The following is a 17,294-nucleotide window of genomic DNA, read 5'->3' as shown; positions in this document are numbered from 1 at the left end:
AAGGGTAGCCATTATGGTTATAGCTGGGAATGTGTTCTGACTCCATTTTCTTCTTCCGTCATCACCTCTGTTAGCTGGCCTCTTATTTCTGTCCACTAACCACATTCTGGAAAGGCCCAGAGACTCAAATGTTAGCCAACCCAAGGAGCCCTTTGCCCAGCTGCTCCATCTCTCAAGAGGCCCTGGAGTCCGGCTCAGGACTGGCCATGACCATGCGCTAGCAGCTCCCTTCCCCGGTGGCCTCCATAGGATAAGGTGGGGCTGGAGGCAGAATAGGAGGAAGGGGAGAGGAGTCAAATAAACCTGGGAGAAGAGACAGGCTGCCCATCTCTCTGCCACTCGATGGCTGGGGGCGGGAAGCCTTCGGCACGGCAGGTCATCCGGATCCGCTGGCCTGGACTGGCATCCACCACCCGGGGCTGGTTCTGGTCCAAACGCAGCCTGCCAAACAAGCAGCCCACAGCATGAGGGGCCCTTGCCGTTGCCCCCGCCTACTCCCATGGGCACCTCTGCACAAGCCTGGTGGCCCCTTCTCCCTCTCCAGCCAGATTCAGCTTCCTAAAATCCCCTGCCTTGTTCTGGTTAGGAAATGGTCAATAACTACCTGGGGTGAAGTCTAAAGCTGCCTCCCCGCCACTACCACTCCCTGCCCCTCCACCACAGCTGGCCAGACACACCCACCAGCCAGGATCCCCATCTGTCACCCCCCACCCTGCACATTTGCCACTAGGTCTTTGAGTTGGGCACCCCCTCCGGTCCTCCACACCCCCTCTGTAAACTGAACCATTCCTCAAGGCCAGCTCAAGACGCTCCTCAAAGAAGCCGGCTCAGGCCCTCTAGCTGTGTGTGCCCTTCCCTTCCTCAGTTCCTGAGTCCTGAGCCTGTAGAACTGCACCGTTCCCAGAAGCTTCTTCCTCAAGAGGCCCAGCTCTGGGAGCCCTGTTTTTCTAGGCCTGGCCTCCCAGAGCCCTGAGCAGGGGCTGGCAAGGCCTGGTCACAGCAGACGTTCCCCTCCTTATCCACTGAGACCCCCGGCCCTGGCCCTGGCGTGGGGGAGGGCAAGATGGCATTGCTGAGTTCTTACCTGTTTGCAGGCTGTGGGTGTGAAGAGGGGATGGCCCCCAGGGGCCCAGCAGCCCCCGCTTGGCCAAAGTCCTGAGCTGGGTCCCTGGGCTGAGGGAAGCGGCTCAGCTCAGCCTCAGACAGCACGGCCATGTCACCCCCTGTCATGAGGCCAGGAGAAACAAGGTGTGAGCTGTGAGGAAAAGGGAGTGGAAGGAAGGGCGGGCCATGAGACCAGCAGGGACTTACGGAGAAATGAGGGCCACAGGGTGGTCCCTGCCAGCAGGAGGAATTGACTCAGAGAGACACCCTGGGCCCCTCTAGCGTGAGGCAGCCCTCGGTCAGGCTCCCCATCCTGGCCTTCCCACTCGGGCCCCTGAGAACGCACTGGTGGATGGGGTGGGGACAGAGACCTATGATGCGAAGTTGGATCTTCTGGGAGTCGCGGCCTGGCCGGGTGCTGCCACAGCTGTAGGTGCCCGCGTCCTCTGCCTGCAGGGGGTGGATGATCAGGGATCCGTCGAACTGCAGCCTGTGCCTGAGTGGGGTGGTGTGGGAGGACATGAGCTCTGGGCTCCCAAGGGCAACAGTGAGTCTTCCCTCCGCCTCGGTGCTCGTGCCAGAGGGGACCAGAGTCTACAGAGCACCCTCCCACCCCAAGTGAGGCTGGGGGAATATGCTTCAGGGGAGGCTGTCACACACACCTGTCAGCGGAGGTGGAGGGAGCTGTCACGTGAACCTGTCAGAGGAGGTCGGGGGGCTGTCACACACACCTGTCAGAGGAGGTCGGGGGGCCGTCACACACACCTGTCAGAGGGGGTAGGGGGGCTGTCACACACACCTGTCAAAGGAGGAGGGGGTCTGTCACACCTATCAGAGGAGGTGGGGGAGCTGTCACACACACCTGTCAGGGAAGGTAGGGGGGCTGTCACACCTGTCAGAGGAGGTGGGGGGACTCTCACCCACCTGTCAGAGGAGATGGGCTGGCCATCTTTCTGCCAGGCAGCCTGGGATTCCGGGGCAGTGTCGTCTGAGCAGGAGAGCCGCACCAACTGCCCCAGGGCTGCCTGCACCAACGAGGGCTCCACACCTGCCAAGCTAATCCTGGAGAGGTGGGAAGTGAGATCTGCTGACTGGCATGAGCGCCAGGACCAGAACCACCCTAAGCAGTGTGTTCCATGACAGACAGCTTGGGGCCCATCCTGTCACAGGCACTTTTGGGGCTAGAGGGTCCCTATGGGAGGCAGAGCCCCAGAAGCCCATGGATTCAGGAATCTACCCTCCCCAACCTGCCCCCGGCTCCCCCAAGCATCACTGCCTCAACCTGTTCTTGTAGCAGCAACAAGGTAGGTGCAAAGCCCAAGGGGTGGGGAGAGGTCGGGAGGGACGGCACACACCAGGTTCATGTGGGGGCTAAACTACACGCTCGACCCATGTGGAACACAACGCTTTTAATTTTGTTTTTAACCTTCCCAAATCCTTCATTAATATGATCCAGTCCCAGGAGTCATCTTGACCAGAACCCACACCTGTGAGGTATACAGGGCAGAAGGTAATGCCACCATTTTACAGGTCAAGAAACTGAGGCTTGGAGAAGTTGGGTGACTTGCCAAAGGTCACGAAGCCAATAAACTTTTCCAGCCAGACAGGCCCCGGGGTATACTGGCGAGATCTGATGGAGAACCCCGGAGCCACCATCTGCACAGATGTCTATTAGACATCAGAGTAGCCTCAAGTCTCTGAAGCCCCAGCTTCTCCATCTGTAGAATGATGGCAACAAGGCCCACCAGGCAGGGCTCTCGGGAGAAACAGAAGTTAGGGATGGGGAGGGAGGGCCGGCTGACTTCAGGGGTTTAGCTCCAACTGGCATGCTCCTTGTCTGGGCGTCCTAACCCCCTCACCTGGGGAAGGTGGGCCTCACCTGTAGGAGGAGCTGTGGAAGGGTGGCGCTGGTGATCCGGCATCTCCACCCAGTCCAGGGGCCCTGGACCCAAGCTCCTGCCCCCATGGCCATTCTCCAAAGGCCTGGGTGTGGGGGGCCTCCCCTGGCCCAGGCTGTTGGTCTTGCCGCCAGAGACCACCAGAAGGCCAGGGCTTTCTCTGCACCGCGGCCCCTGTCCTGTGCTGGCTGGGTTCCTGCTCGCCTGCAGGACTGCTGCCGCCACCATCCGTGTGGGTGCTCCTTCCAGAAGCCCCAGGCTGGGGACGACGGGGCCCATGGAGAGATCCCTGGCAGCTGCTCATGCACTCTTGCTCCGAGGCAAAGTTATTGGCATTGCCATGGCAGCCGCCATACCAGAAGCGGTTACATTGGCCCACAGAGGCAACGAAGTACCAGCGGGCAGCCCAGTCTGCGCAAGAGCCATGGGCACTGGGCAGCAGGCACCGCACGGGGTAGGCTGCAGGGCATGGGTGTGATATAAGTCACTGAGGTGCCCAGTACTAAAGCTGCACCCTCCATCCTCTCAGCCTCCGACTCAGGAAGCAGGCCCTTCCCCACTTATAAAGCATGTCTACACCCCTGTCTGGGGGCCTGACCTGGCCCTGGGATCCAGGATGCTTCCACCAGAGTCTGTCCACTGTGCAGACCTGCCCCCGGCTGGTGCCACAGCAGCCTTCACCCACAGAGCTAGAGCCTCTGGGAGGTCAGGGCCAGGGCTCCCTGGGCCGGCTCCCTTGGACCTTTGGCCTTCCCTGCCACCAGACCACCTGAAGTCACATGCAAAGTGAGCCCAGAGGGTGACCCTGCCTGCTTAGCTTGTGATAGGGACACAGACCTGAGCCACCCAGGGCGTGTGAAGATGCCCAGCAAGGGCATGCCCTTGTCCCCAGGATGCTGCACTGACTGGCCACTGAGCCCACCTCCAGCACCCAGCCTGCCATTCCAGCAGCCCTCGCCAGCATGGCCTGACCCATCTCTCCACATTTAGACATGACCATGGGTGCCTCCTGCGAGCCCTGACCACAGCCCTAGCCCGGCTTTTGAGGTCCTCGTGATGGTTCCCAGCAGCTCTACTCATTCATCCAGGGCTGCAACCTCAAAGACCTCCCTGACCCCTACCCTCCCTCCAGCACTCAGCTCCTGCTACTCCACCCACATTCCAGGCAGGGTCAGGGCACCCCTGCCCATCCCGGCACTAACTGCCCTGCACTGGCTCTGCCTCAGAAGGGGCTGACTCCCAAGCACGAGACTGCCTCCCAGGCCCTTGGGATCCCCACCTCCCACCCTCCCCAGTTCCCAGAAGCAGCCAGAAGGCCACAGGTTCAAACTGCTGGATGCGAGAACACTCTGGCACTGCTCTCTGGCCTGGCACCTAGCAGGCAATCAACATTTGTGGTAGGAATGAATGAATAACTGAGCTGGTAGGAAGGTCTTTGGTCCTGGGTGGGGGCTGGAGGCATGGTGGGAGCAGAGTCTACCCATCGAGAAGGAGGAGAGGGGGTGTCCACTCACCATGGCTGGGCTGGCCCACACAGCCTTCCCCAAGAGGACCGGCTGCAGTGGCCACGTTGTCATAGCAACAGCCAAACTGGGAGCCCCGGCACTCACTGGGCTCATTCTGCTGGGCCTGGGGCTGGTGGGTGTTGTGGACCTGGGGAGGAAACCCATGATTGGGAAGTGGGCAGTGGATCTGGCCATTGTTGGGGACTCTGGGCTGCCACGGGGAGGATGGCAGGAAGGAGGGGCCAGAACCCCAGCCCAGGGGAGACCAGAGGCCAGGAGAATGTTGGATGAAACCCCTGATCCACCCCAGGCCCATCTTTGAAGCCCGGTGCCCTCCAGAGGATGACCCAGGCCAGCAGATTTGCAGGGACCTCCTTTCTCCGAGGCCAAAGCGGCAAAGATCCTGGGTCACAGTGACACTGAGCAGGCTCACGGGCTGGCCCCCTGCTCCCCTCCCCCAGGCCAGACACTTACTGTAGAAGCCACTGCCCTTGACCTGGGCATGCCCCCGGTGCTGTCACCACCATACGACTTTGTGCAGCCAGCGTGATGGGGCCCCTCAGCGACAGATACCCTGTCAGGGCAGCACCCGTACCTAGGCAGACATCACACAGCCCCTCACTGCCCAGCCTGCCCCCACGCTCCCTGCATCCCAGGACCCAGGCTCTGAGGCTCCCCATGGTGGGGGCTGACAGGGTGGGGACCTGGGGGGGAGAGGACGTGTCCCCGTGTGCAGGGCAGGCCATTTTGTGTGCCGCAATCTCTGCCTAAATCCACCGACTCTTAGCAGCTACCAGGGAGGGCAGCCGTAACACAATAAATGGTGGCTGTACCCCTCATAACTGGCAGAGCCTCAGTTGCACAGCCCACAAAACAAAGAAGGGGGATGTTCATCTGAGCCTGACCAAATGTCAGTTCACAGCGGGGGTTACAAAACAGCAGCAGATGGGAGACAGGGCAGAAGAGGGGGTTCAAAGGAACCCACCATTTACTCCACACCCACCCACCAGGTGCCACGAGGCAAGGTGAAAGGAGGGAGGGTGCCCGGCGCCCTCTCTGTGCCAGGCATGCTGTGATGCACTTCACCCTCACAGGAACCCCATCACGATTGTCATCATTCCCATTTCTCAGAAGAGGAACCCAAAATCAGAGAGGTTAAGTCACGTGGCCCAAGTCACCCAGCACATAGCCGGTGAGTGTCTGAGCTGGGAACTGCCCCCAGGCTACTGGCCACAAAGTCTGGGCCCAGAAGCACCTGGTCTCTGAGACAGCACACTGGGGATGCGTTCAGGGCAGGCCATAGAAGGAGGAGGGGCAGAGGGAGGGCACCTGGCAGGAGTGGGATGACTCGGACCCATTCCATAAGGCGGGAGTGGCCGGGGCTGTTAGGAAGATTGTGAGGAGTTGGTTGGCCCTCGTCTAGCCTTTACCGTGAGTTCCCTGAGCCTGGTTAGATCTGAGAGCTAGAATCGCACCCAGAGCCTTCTCGGAGTCTCAGGCTGTGTTTCCACACGCTGACACTCTGCAGTAAGGTGGGGGTTTGTGTCCCCACTTGGCACATCAAGAAACTCAGCCACAGGAAGCCAAGTCCCCAAGATCTCATGCTCAGGGCAGCCCAGGGAGGAAAGCTTGGGCATCCTATTCCTGAGCTCTGCACACCCACCCCAGCCCTCTTCTGATCAGAGATGTTGGCCCACCCACGGGGTCCCACCTTCCCTCTTTGACGGGGGAGGAGGAAGACCTGTCTCCAGCACCCACCTGCTCTGCTGACAGGGGGCCCCAGGGCAGCCTTGCCACTGAGGCCCGAGAGATGCCGTGTGGCCATCGGGGCAGCACCCGTGAGGACTGTGTCTGCAGTCGTGGGGCCCTGAGCCCGACCGCAGGGGTTGCTGGTATGGGGGCTGCTGCAGAGAGGGAGCGGGGCCCAGGGCTGACAGGTGGGTGCCTTGGTCGCCCCTGGGGTCACCTCGTTCTCCCCTGTGGTCACCCCTGGCTGAGGGGTGTTCCTGGGCTGCCCACCACTGGCCTCTGGAGTCTAGAAAGAAGAAGCAAAAGACACACAGTGCGTCCACCTGGCTCCTCCCCTCCACCCCTGTCCACGTTGGACCCACCTTCCTCCGTCCCCTGGACCATTCTCCCTTCCACCATGGCTGCACCCAACTGTGACCCCCACACCCCCATGTACCATCCACTCAGACACAAAAACTACAGGGCTCTGAGTGGGGGACGGGACCAGGCTCTCACCTGAGGCAGGGGACTCCTGAGGGCCCAACGGCATCCAGGGGTTGCTGGCAGGGGTGTGCACATCCTGCATGCTGGGGACCTCTGCAGGGAGCCGGGAGGTCCATGTGGGACGGAGAGGGAGGAAGAGAGGATGGACCTGAGCTGTGGCCAGCCCTGCCCAGCACTGGCTTCTACCCCACTGCCCAGGCAGGGCCTGGGAACCCGAGACAGCCCAAGGGAAAAGGAGCATGACCCAGGATTTCAAAAAATGCCCAGCCACTCTTCAAAAGTCTCCAGTCACACAGAAAATGCTCATCTTTTTTGAGACAGGGTCTCTGTCGCCCAGGCTGAGATGCAGTAGGGTGATCATGGCTCACTAAAGCCTCAACCTCCTGGGTTCAAGTGATCCTCCCACTTCAGCCCCCTGAGTAGCTGGGACTACTTTTTTTTTTTTTTTTTTTTAGAGATAGGGTCTTTCTATATTGCCCAGGCTTGTCTCAAACTCCTGGGCTCAAGTGATCCTCCTGACTCAGCCTCCCAAAATGCTGGGATTATGGGTGTGAGCCACTGCACCTAGCATGAAAAATGCTAATCTTACATGTTCAGCAAAAAGTACCAGCTATAAAATGTGCACGTGTTATGATCCCAGCCACATAAAACAAAAAACAGAACATACTTTTTTAAAAAATTGGACTGATGAAAGGCAAACAATCCAATTAAAAAGTGGGTAAAGAACTTACGCATTTCTCCAAAGATGATATGCAAATGGCCAACAAACACGTAAAAAGATACTCAACATCATTAGTCATCAGGGAAATGCAAATCAAAACCACAATGAGGTCCTGCTTCCCACCCACTAGGATGTCTATAATCAAAGAGATTGAAATAATGCGCTAAATACCACCAACCTGTACACTTTAAAAGGGTTAACTGAATGTAAATTTCACCTCCATAAAAAAATTCCATATTTAAAAAAATTGGATGAATAGACAAAGGGATAGAAAGACACTAGATAATGAGCGAAGCACGGGCTCCCGCCCGCAATCCCAGCACTTTGGGAGGCCGAGGCAGGAGGATCACTTGAGGTCAGGAGTTTCGAGACCAGCCTGGCCAACATGGTGAAACCCCATCTCTACTGAAAATACAAAAATTAGCTGGGCGCAGTAGCACACACCTGTAATCCCAGCTACTCAGGACGCTAAGGCAGGAGAATCGCTTGAACCTGGGAGGCAGAGGTTGCAGTGAGCCGAGATCGCGCCACTGCACTCCAAACTGGGCGACAGAGCGAGACTAGGTCTCAAAAAAAAAAAAAAAAAAAAAAAAAAAAGAAGAAAGAGACTAGATAATGAAAACACAAATATAGCCAAATACTAGTTGTGGGATTGAGATAGTGTGTACATGGCTGCTCACTATGCATTTCTTTCAACTTTTTGGCATGTTTAAAGTTTCTATCATATTGTTCAACTTGTAAATTTACAAAAAATCATTGTGCCATTAGAATGGGTGGTTTTTAGGGTATATGGAATTATTTAAACAACATCCCTAAAATTTTCAAAAAGATTTTTCGTCACAAAATATTGTTGGAAAATGCAAATGGATAAGTAGATAAAATTAGGACAATAAGAATTTTTTTTTAATGCTACATAAGAGAAAACCTGTAGGACCCCCCCTGAAATAATGCCCATAGTGAAAGTTGCTCTGAGTGCTTGGGAGGCAGGGTGCCCTTCCCTTCTATTTGCGTGCTTCAAATTTTCCAAAATAAGCATATTACTATATAATGGAAGAAAGTTATAAAGAATAAAATAAGTGGGCCAGGCACAGTGGCTCACACCTGTAATCCCAGCACTTTGAGAGGCTAAGGTGAGAGGATTGCCTGAGCCCAGGAGATGAAGACCGGCCTGGACAACATAACAAGAGCCCATCTCAACAAAAAATCAAAAAATTAGCTGGGCATGGTGGCCTGCACCTGTGATCTCAGCTACACAGGAGGCTGATGTGGGAGGAGCCCTTGAGCCCAGAACGTGGAGGCTGCAGTGATCTATAATTGTACCATTGCACTGCAGCCTGGGCAACAGAGACCCTGTCTCAAAATAATAATAAAGTAAATTAATATTCCATTCCCACATGGACTACATCTTGCCAATCCCTAGAAATATTTACTTATTTTATTATTTTTTTTTTTAATCTTTTTATTTTTGAGATAGAATCTTGCTCTGTCACCCAGGCTGGAGTTACAGGGTTGCGATCTCAGCTCACTGCAACCTCCACCTCCCAGGTTCAAGTGATTCTCCTGTCTCAGCCTCCTGAGTAGCTGGGATTACAGGCACAGGCCACTGCACCCAGCTAATATTTGTATTTTTAGTAGAGAAGGGGTTTTGCCATGTTGGTCCTGAACTCCTGAGCTCAAGTGATCTGCCTCCCAAAGTGCTGGGATTACAGGCATGAGCAGTTGCATCCAGCCCCCAGGGATATTTAAAACAATAATTTGGGGTTGGAAGACTCCAACAGATATGTGGTAAAATCTATTTCTTTTTTTTTTTTTTTTTTTGAGACAGAGTCTCACTCTTGTTGCTCAGGTTGGAGTTCAATGGCGTGATCTCGGCTCACTGCAACCTCGGCCTGCCAGGTTCAAGCAATTCTCCTGCCTCAGCCTCCCAAGTAACTGGGATTACAGGCACCTGCCACAACGCCCAGCTAATTTTTTGTATTTTTAGTAGAGACGGGATTTCACAATGTTGGCCAGGCGGGTCTCGAACTCCTGGTTTCAAGTGGTCCTCCCACCTCAGCCTCCCAAAGTGCTGGGATTACAGACTGGGATTAATCCTCACCTGGCCCTTTTTCTTCCTTTCTATATGGGTCCTGCTAGTCCCTGGGACAGGCTTAAGATCACCTCTTTTAGAAGCCAACAAGGCCCTGGGGAACAGACTGGCTCCATGGAGAGCTGGACCCCTGGGAGTCCAAGGCTCTCCTGCTGGTGAGCCCCAAGGACCAGGCCCCAGCTGAGGCACCAGGGGCCCTCCGGATGGCCGAGCTCCCCCACAAGGCCTCACCACCACCCCTTCCACCCTCTGCTTAGCTAGCAAGCACCCCATGCGGTCAGGCGTTGTGCTGCATGACCACCACGGTCTGGAAAGTCGCTCTTTTTAACCCCACTGTGCAGATGGGCAAACTGAGAATCAGAGAGGTGGGGCACTTGCCCAAGGCCACACAACTGGTCAGCAACGGAGTGGATCGGAACCCAAGCCTGCTGTTGACTCTGAGGCCACTGGTTCTTAGCCACACCTGTCACATGTCTCATAGAAATTCTGCCTTCCTTCATCTCAAGGTCCCTACAGCTCATAGAGTCCCCATCACGAGTGAGTCAAGGCCAAACATGCCTCCCTGCAGTATTGGGAGGCTACCCACCCACCCCCATCCCCAGCTCACCACAACCCACACCCTTCCTCAATGTGGCATCCTCACACCACGCAAACACTGGCCTCAGTGCCCTTTCTCCAGCAGGCCCTCATGCTTGTGAGGCTCCTTTCACAGTGGGATGGGGATGAAGGGAAGAAGACAGAGGCAGAAGTGGCATGTGGAGACACTCCTTCCTGGACTGCCTCCTTCCCTCAGCACACAGTCAGTCACTCAGTCATTCAACAGACATTCACTGAGTACCTAACTGTGTCAGGTAAGTTCTATGGGGGTATAAAGAGGAATATGGAAGTTGGGGACCCAGTCCTCAAGAAGCTTATAGTGGGTAGGTCTGACAAGCCGTATACAACCACAGCAGCACAAGGAAATGAATCTAAGGGTCCCACAGAAATGACAGCATGCTATGGGGGCCAGAGGGGCAGGGGCATGCTACCGCTGAGTGGAGGAAAGCAGGGCTGCCTGGTGGGCTGCACACCAGGTGGGCCTTAGAGATGGCAAAGGGTTCAGCGGGGGGAGACATGGGAGAAGTGGGGTCCAGAGGGATGACACAGTGCAGGCAGAGGCCCCGAGGCAGGACATGCTTGCTGGGTTTGTAGCGAGTGGGAGAGAGGTCAGAGGCCGGACTCCTCCCTGCCCTCCTGTCCTTACCCTGGGGGAGATGACAGGGCTGCGTGTTACAAGGCTCCACATCCACAGGCTTGGAGTGCTGCAGGCTCCCGCAGTGGCTGGGCGGCCCAATGGCACAGATGACCTGTCGCCTCCGAGTGCCCGAGCTGCAGCTCTTGGAGCACTGAGGCCCACGAGTGGGAGAGAGAGAGATGCTGAGGGCGAGGCTGGGGGCGGGGACCCACATGGAGAGAGGCAGGGGAAGGTGCCCAGTGGCGCGTGTCAGGTCCAAGGACGGCGCTCGGGTGCAGCCACCTGCCAGAGACCAGGGTCAGGCAGCAGGTGTGGGGGTGGAGAGCACTCACTAGACCCCAGGTGCCAACATGCCAGGCCTGGTCACTGAGGAGGGGGCAGTCCTCATGCACACAGGGCTCAGTCAGAGGTGGCCGGTCTTCCAAGGAGCACGCTGCGGTATGGAGCAAAGAACCCCTTTCACCCCGGCAAGTAACGCTCCGCTTCCGGACGCCAACGCCACAACTGACAGAACACTGCAAGGACAAGGCTGTCAGCAGAAGCTCGGCCTTGCCCCCAGGAGCCACGCCAGTTCGGACAGCTAGCGGCCCACCAGCCTGGTGTGGAGGCAGATAGCACCCAACTGCCCATGTCCTTCCCAGGCCCAGAGAGGCTGACTCACTCCCCTGAGGTCACACAGCCTGAACCATGGCTACTGACAACAGACTGAGGTTGTCACCCATTTGTATTTTCCATCCATTTGCAACTTGAATATACGTAGGTGCTAGAAGCAATGACTGGCAGCCTAGACACTTCCAGCTCCTCCCTTGCCCCCAAACAACACACCAGCTTCTTCCTGCCCAGGCCTTTCCTGCCCTGCCCTGGGATCCTGGAGAAAAAGGAAGAGCCCTGGACCACTCATCCAGACACTTGCTTCTGGTCCCAGCCTTGGCCACAGCTTCCAAGATGACCTGACCGGTTATTTTACCTCCCAGGACCTCGGTTTCCACAGCAGAGAACAAGACCCCAGCCCTTCCCTGCTGCTACCCAGGTCCAGCACCAGCCCCATGCGGGCCAGGGGCCTGACCTCTCCCCAGGGCTCCGGGCTCCAGGCTGCACAGCGCTGCAGGTTACAGGCCTGAATGGCAGGGGGCTTCCCAGGCAGCCCGGCACACTCAGCCTCCTCCACGGCCTCCTGGATGCCGGCCCCGTCAGACGAGATGCAGTACACGGAGCGGGACTGGGAGCCTCCTCCACAGGAGGCTGAGCAGGGTGCCCATGGCCCTGCCTTCCAGCTGGCAGGAGGGGGAATCAGGTAAGGCTGGCCCAGGAGCATGGGCAGAAACCCAGCCCTGAGGGTTTCTGCCCTCACTCACACAGGTGGCCTGAGGACCCCCACCCCAGCCCATCCTCTGAGCCTCCAGCCTGAACAAAGGCTACGACCCAGGCGCTCCTTAGCATCCCCACCACCGGGCCTGGCTCTCTGAGCGCTCCCCACAACTCGGGGCCCTGCGCCTCCCCCTTGGCTTTCCTGTCCTCAACCCTATCCCCCTTTCTCCTTCCCACCAGGTCCCTGTCTCCCAGTCAGACTCCATTCCTCTCGGTCTGACCTTAGTCAAGGGGCAGCTCCTGGAGAGGCTGTGCTCACCCATGCGTGGAGCGGCTCTGCCAGGCCCCGGGTGCAAGGACCCAGAGGAAAGAGCAGCCCTGTGGCCCCATGCAAAGCCAAGTCCGCCACCATCCCAGGAGGCCCGCTGCCACCAAGGCCAAGCGGTGACAGGGTGGCACCAGCCCTGCGGGGAGCCTGTGACCTGCAGGTTACCTGTTCCCACACACTCGCTGGGCCCCAGCAAGGCGCCACGCTCCAGGCCGGTGCAGGTAAGAGGTCCTTTGTGCACGAACAAAGCCATGGCCGATGCCAACAGGCCCTTTGGCCTGACCCCTGGCCCACCCCTTGGCATCTGCCAAGCCAAACCCTCTGCTGGCTCAGACAGACAGGGACCTCTGGAACCTTCTCCAACCCTCCTGCCACCAAGCCTAGGTGTTCTGAGTACTTCGTGGTCACAGGAGAGCAGAGAGACCAGCCCCGGGCTCAGGCCTATTCTCTGCCTCCCCCAGGAAGAGCTGCCACCTCTCCCACACCCCAGCCACAGCGTGGGGGGCCCTGGACCCCCACCTCTTTGTTCTACACCTAAAGCAGCTTGGAGGCCTTGTTCCCTTCCCACCCAAGTTCTTGGGCCTCATCATGGGTAGAGGGGCTGGCAAGGTCTCACCGCTTGGTCTCCGGGCAAGGGTGAAGATTGCAGGAACGCCGGTCAGCTGGCCGTGGCTGGCGCTGGCACATGTGGTCGGGGTAGGCCTCATGGTCGATGGTGCAGAACACCAGGCGGGACTGGTGACCTGCGCAGAGGCCCAGCCATGGCGGGCAGACGCCAGTCAACATTCACCAAGCGCGTTCCCTGGGCCAGGCGCCATCCTGCACTCACCCCACAGGTCATCCCCATTCAGTCTTAGATGACCCCCCCGAGGCAGGTGCCACCACATCTCCAATTGGCAGATGAGGAAACTGAGGCTCTGAGGGTTTTTGCTGTGAGAGAGCCCTACTCTGGCACCTGATCACTGACCCCAGGCCCAGCTCCGGTCCTGAGGGAGTCTGTCTCCTATGAGATGCCGCTGACTCTGGGAAGCCCCCTCTGGTTCTATTCGCTTAGGCTGGGGTCCTTCATGGAGTCCCCCAGATCCCTGGGTTTTCCTCAAAGCGACCCCCATAACACAGAGATTTCTCGCCTACTTGTCCATCTCCCCAGGAGGGACTGCCTTGAGGAGAGGGCTGTGACTTGCCCACCTGTGGCCGTGGGATCCAGCACACAGGGCCCATGCCCTCCCCTGGGCCATCCACGCCCGCACCTCCGCCACACTCCGCGCTGCAGTCACTCCATGAGCCGTGGCTCCAGCTGAAGCCGGGGCTGGGGCGGCGCAGGGGCAGGTGGTACTCATAGTGCACACCGGGGTTGGGCTCCTGGCTGATGAGCTGTCACGGGAGAGTCCTTGTTGGGGTCTGCTGCTGGGGAGCACTCCCACACCCTCCGCAGCCTCACAGCCCCCTGCCAGCCTCAAGCCCAGAGCCACTCAACCCCCCATGTACAGAGCTTGGCAGCCTCTTGGGGACCACGAGCTGCCCACTCGCCCTCTCTCCCCACACCCCCATTTACCTCGATGACCAGGGGCTCCGAGGTGGGGCCCCGGGCATGGAGTCGCTCAGGGGCCAGGTCCCCCTCAGCACCCCGCTCGTAATGCAGGATGGTGCTGGCTGCTGGCAGGGCCCGGGCCGCCTCGATGGTCCAGTGCCCATTGAGGTAGTATTCCCCACGAACATTCTTCACAGCTGCGCAGAGGAGACCGCCTCAGTCAGCCAGAGGGAGCAGTGCCGCACCTCCCCCTGCAGCCCCAGACCTGCCTAGGACCTAACCCTAGGCTCTCACCCAGGAAGTTCCTGCTGGCAGCAGCCTCGTCGATGAGGATGCTGGTGGCACCCATGGGAACTATGAGGATCTGGTTGTAGCCTGGGGGCAGAGACGCAGGTGCTGGGTGTGCTGGGCTATCCCTCTCCCGGCACCACTCAAACAGGACTCCAAGTGCCACACAGCACAGAATGGGGGCAGGGAGGGTACACAAGAGCCAGACAGGGCCGAGCTGCTGGGAAAGGCAACCCTGGCAGAAGAGGCCGCAGTACAAAAGCCAGGGTGGCGGGAAGGCTCAGGGCACCCGGAGCACACTGGGAGTGGGAAGGGATGGGGAGGGCATCCAGGCGGTGGCAGCAGGAGATGGGACTGCACGAGCGGGCACGAGTCCTAACCAAAGGCCACAGGGGGCCTTTCAGATGTGACCTGATATGATCAGAGCCTTCCAGTGCCATGAGGGCCACTTGGCCTGGAGTCTAGGCCAGAGCAGGGACAGGCAAGGAAGGGACAGGCAAGGAAGGGGGCAGGCAACTGCCCCTTGTCGGAACCACCCCCACCTCGGCTGAGGTCATTAGCGTCAAAGGTGCCTGCGACGGGGTAGCAGGTCGTGCCGTCACCCCCACACCGCAGACACTTGTCCTCCTGCTTGGACGAGTCCAGCTCGTGATCACAGCCGACAACCTGTGGGCAGAGATGCGGGAGGCAGGGGAGACGGCATCATGGCCACATCAGGCCTTGGGCCCCGTCGCATCCTAACCCCAGCACCCACGCAGCCCAGGCAGGATAGGGTGGTCGGGAGTGATTCAGCCACCAGCCAGGGGACTGGCCTGTGGCTGACAATCCACTTCTCTGTCTGCTCAGCTCCCATCTCCCCTTCTGGTAATAATGCCCTGTTTTCCTTGAGGGGCCACCTCTCTCCCGCAGAGTTTGAACGGAGCTCCCCAAATGTGGGTTTGGGGAGGTTGGAGTGGTTCAGGGTAAGTCCCAAACCAAGACGAATCAGAGACAACCCCCGGTGGCTAGAACTCCTGGGAATGAGGCCCCCTTTCCCTGGGAATTCCCTTTCTAGGGAGCAGAAGGTCGGAGCAGCTGGCGGCCACCTCCACACCTCCTGGGAAGAATGGGCCAGATCCTGATGCTGGACCCAAGGAGAGGAAAGCCGAGTGGCACCTCATTCATGCGCCTGCGGCTGTCCCTGCTGTTTGTTTTTCTGAAGTCGGTTTTAGCCGGATTTCTGCCACCCAGAGGGTTTCTCTTATTGTAGGGCTAGCGTTCTCCAAGGATGAAGGTGAGGGGCCATAGGGCATCTGTGATGCCTGCAAGGTACCCTAGGAGCTGGGCTTGGTGTCCTGGTAACTTGAGAAGACACCAAGCTCATGGCAGCTACCTGGGCCTATGGGTGATGGACAGGGAAACACCCGCACTGAGCCCCCAGGCAGCCCGGAGGCAGGGAGGGGCTGGGGCACCACTCACCCGGCAGCTGCCATCCACACAGACATCCCTCTTGCCAGGCTCGCAGGGCGTCCCATCAACCACAGCCTCCCTGTGCTTGTAGTAGAAGTTCTCCCCCTTGGGAATGCAGTTCAGTTCACACTTGTTTGGGGCTGGGGTGGGCAGGAAGGCAAGACTGAGATCCTGAGGTTGATGATGCCCCTCCCCAAGACCCAAGGCTTACCCTAGCAACAGGAAAGCATGGGTCAGAAAGCCCTGCAGCAGGCCCCGCAGAGCACAGATCCCCGCCCCATCCCCAGGAGAAGGGACCGTCTCCATGAATCTGTTGCACCTCTAAGGATCAAGTCGAAGAAAAATCCCAGAATCAGGAAAAAGTGAAACACTTAAAGAAGTCTACCTCAGCATTATTTACCACAGCTGAGGTGGTTACAACAGGCTACTTTTTTTTTTTTTTTTTTTTTGAGGTGGAGTCTCGCTCTTGTTGCCCAGGCTGGAGTGCAGTGGCACGATCTCGACTCACTGCAACCTCCGCCTCCCTAGTTTAAGCAATTCTCCTGCCTCAGCCCCCCTAGTAGCCGGGACTACAGGCACGCGCCACCACACCCGGCTAAGTTTTGTACTTTTAGTAGAGATGGGGTTTCACCATGTTGGGCAGGCTGGTCTCGAACTCCTGACCTCAGGTGATCCACCTGCCTCAGCCTCCCAAAGTGCTGGGATTACAGGTGTAAACCACTGTGCATGGCCATAACAGGCTACTCTTTAAATAAATTATCAATGGAATATTACACATGCTGACTATGCAGTTACAAATGATGATTGTGAAGACTATATGGTGTGGGAAGATGCTTAAAACACAGAATGCAAAATGGTGATTACTATGCAATAATTACAAATATGTAAGCATATATGGAGAGAATAATGTGAAAGGGGCTAAAATGAAATGCTAACAGTGATCTTGTGAAAGGGGCAGGATGAGGATAACTTTTTTCTGGTTTTAATGTTTTTCAGATGGGATCTCACTCTGTCTCCCAGGCTGGAATGCAGAGGCACGATCAAAGCTCACAGCAGCCTCTACCTCCGAGACTCAAGTGGTCCTCCAGCCTCAGTCTCTCGAATAGTTGGGACTATAGGCACATGCCATCATACCCAGCTAATTTTTTTATTTTTTGTAGAGACAGGGTCTCACTACGATACCCAGGCTGGTTTCAAACTCCTGGGCTCAAATGATCCTCCTGCCTCAGCCTTCCAAAGCACCAGGATTACAAGCAGGAGCCACTGTACCTGGCCTGGTTTTAATTTTTTTTTCTTCTTTTGGAGACAAGATCTCACTCTGTCGTCCGGGCTGGAGTGCAGTGGTGTGATCTTGACTCACTGCAGCCTCAACTTCCTGGGCTCAAGTGATCCTCCCACCTCAGCTTCTCGAATAGCTGGGACTACATGGGTGTGCAACCATGCCTAGCTAATCTTTGTATGCCTGGCTAATCTTCGTATTTTTGGTAGAGATGGGGTTTCACACATTGCCCAGGCTTGTCTCAAATTCCTGGACTCAAGTGATCCTCCTGCCTCAGCCTCCCAAAGTGCTGGGATTACGGGCATGAGCCACTGTACCCTACCTTAAT

General features: G+C 57.4%; 1 protein-coding gene across 17 annotated transcripts in view, besides 4 other annotated features; it reads right to left on the bottom strand.

The window, feature by feature from the left end:
• Nucleotides 1-17,294, bottom strand: part of PAPLN (papilin, proteoglycan like sulfated glycoprotein) — a 38,819-nt gene that overhangs the window by 8,813 nt on the left and 12,712 nt on the right. For 10 of the 17 annotated variants that reach the window (XM_011537292.4, XM_011537291.4, NM_001365906.3 and 7 more), the window contains 18 exons: nucleotides 15,697-15,827; nucleotides 14,781-14,904; nucleotides 14,245-14,325; nucleotides 13,975-14,147; nucleotides 13,670-13,793; nucleotides 13,036-13,162; nucleotides 11,850-12,057; nucleotides 11,116-11,298; nucleotides 10,793-10,934; nucleotides 6,752-6,832; nucleotides 6,266-6,542; nucleotides 4,982-5,102; nucleotides 4,517-4,655; nucleotides 2,984-3,461; nucleotides 2,029-2,166; nucleotides 1,476-1,600; nucleotides 1,085-1,223; nucleotides 304-441 (listed from right to left, as the gene is read on the bottom strand). In XM_011537292.4, the coding sequence (XP_011535594.1) occupies nucleotides 304-441; nucleotides 1,085-1,223; nucleotides 1,476-1,600; nucleotides 2,029-2,166; nucleotides 2,984-3,461; nucleotides 4,517-4,655; nucleotides 4,982-5,102; nucleotides 6,266-6,542; nucleotides 6,752-6,832; nucleotides 10,793-10,934; nucleotides 11,116-11,298; nucleotides 11,850-12,057; nucleotides 13,036-13,162; nucleotides 13,670-13,793; nucleotides 13,975-14,147; nucleotides 14,245-14,325; nucleotides 14,781-14,904; nucleotides 15,697-15,827 (2,929 nt within the window). Of the gene's footprint in view, nucleotides 1-303; nucleotides 442-1,084; nucleotides 1,256-1,475; nucleotides 1,601-1,766; nucleotides 1,870-2,028; nucleotides 2,167-2,983; nucleotides 3,462-4,516; nucleotides 4,656-4,981; nucleotides 5,103-6,265; nucleotides 6,543-6,751; nucleotides 6,833-10,792; nucleotides 10,935-11,115; nucleotides 11,299-11,849; nucleotides 12,058-12,584; nucleotides 12,749-13,035; nucleotides 13,163-13,669; nucleotides 13,794-13,974; nucleotides 14,148-14,244; nucleotides 14,326-14,780; nucleotides 14,905-15,696; nucleotides 15,828-17,294 lie in introns of those variants that run through there. The other 7 variants (NR_158678.2, NR_158677.2, NM_001365907.2 and 4 more) reach the window with 7 other exon arrangements.
• Nucleotides 5,537-6,222: an enhancer, noted in NCBI's record as "H3K4me1 hESC enhancer chr14:73726297-73726982 (GRCh37/hg19 assembly coordinates)". NCBI's record gives its function as "activates a minimal SCP1, AML or CMV promoter by ChIP-STARR-seq in naive H9 embryonic stem cells {active_cell/tissue: H9 hESC(naive)}" and the evidence as "EXISTENCE:reporter gene assay evidence [ECO:0000049][PMID:30033119]".
• Nucleotides 6,223-6,910: an enhancer, noted in NCBI's record as "H3K4me1 hESC enhancer chr14:73725609-73726296 (GRCh37/hg19 assembly coordinates)". NCBI's record gives its function as "activates a minimal SCP1, AML or CMV promoter by ChIP-STARR-seq in naive H9 embryonic stem cells {active_cell/tissue: H9 hESC(naive)}" and the evidence as "EXISTENCE:reporter gene assay evidence [ECO:0000049][PMID:30033119]".
• Nucleotides 10,484-10,984: an enhancer, noted in NCBI's record as "H3K4me1 hESC enhancer chr14:73721535-73722035 (GRCh37/hg19 assembly coordinates)". NCBI's record gives its function as "activates a minimal SCP1, AML or CMV promoter by ChIP-STARR-seq in naive H9 embryonic stem cells {active_cell/tissue: H9 hESC(naive)}" and the evidence as "EXISTENCE:reporter gene assay evidence [ECO:0000049][PMID:30033119]".
• Nucleotides 17,158-17,237: a silencer, noted in NCBI's record as "silent region_5907". NCBI's record gives its function as "represses an Ori minimal core promoter by ATAC-STARR-seq in GM12878 lymphoblastoid cells {active_cell/tissue: GM12878}" and the evidence as "EXISTENCE:reporter gene assay evidence [ECO:0000049][PMID:35858748]".

The sequence above is a fragment of the Homo sapiens genome, chromosome 14 (genome assembly GCF_000001405.40).
Source record: "Homo sapiens chromosome 14, GRCh38.p14 Primary Assembly".
In the NCBI taxonomy this organism is placed as follows: Eukaryota; Metazoa; Chordata; class Mammalia; order Primates; family Hominidae; genus Homo; species Homo sapiens.
Note: the sequence above shows the minus strand (reverse complement) of the source record. Positions and strands in the feature narration are given on the sequence as shown.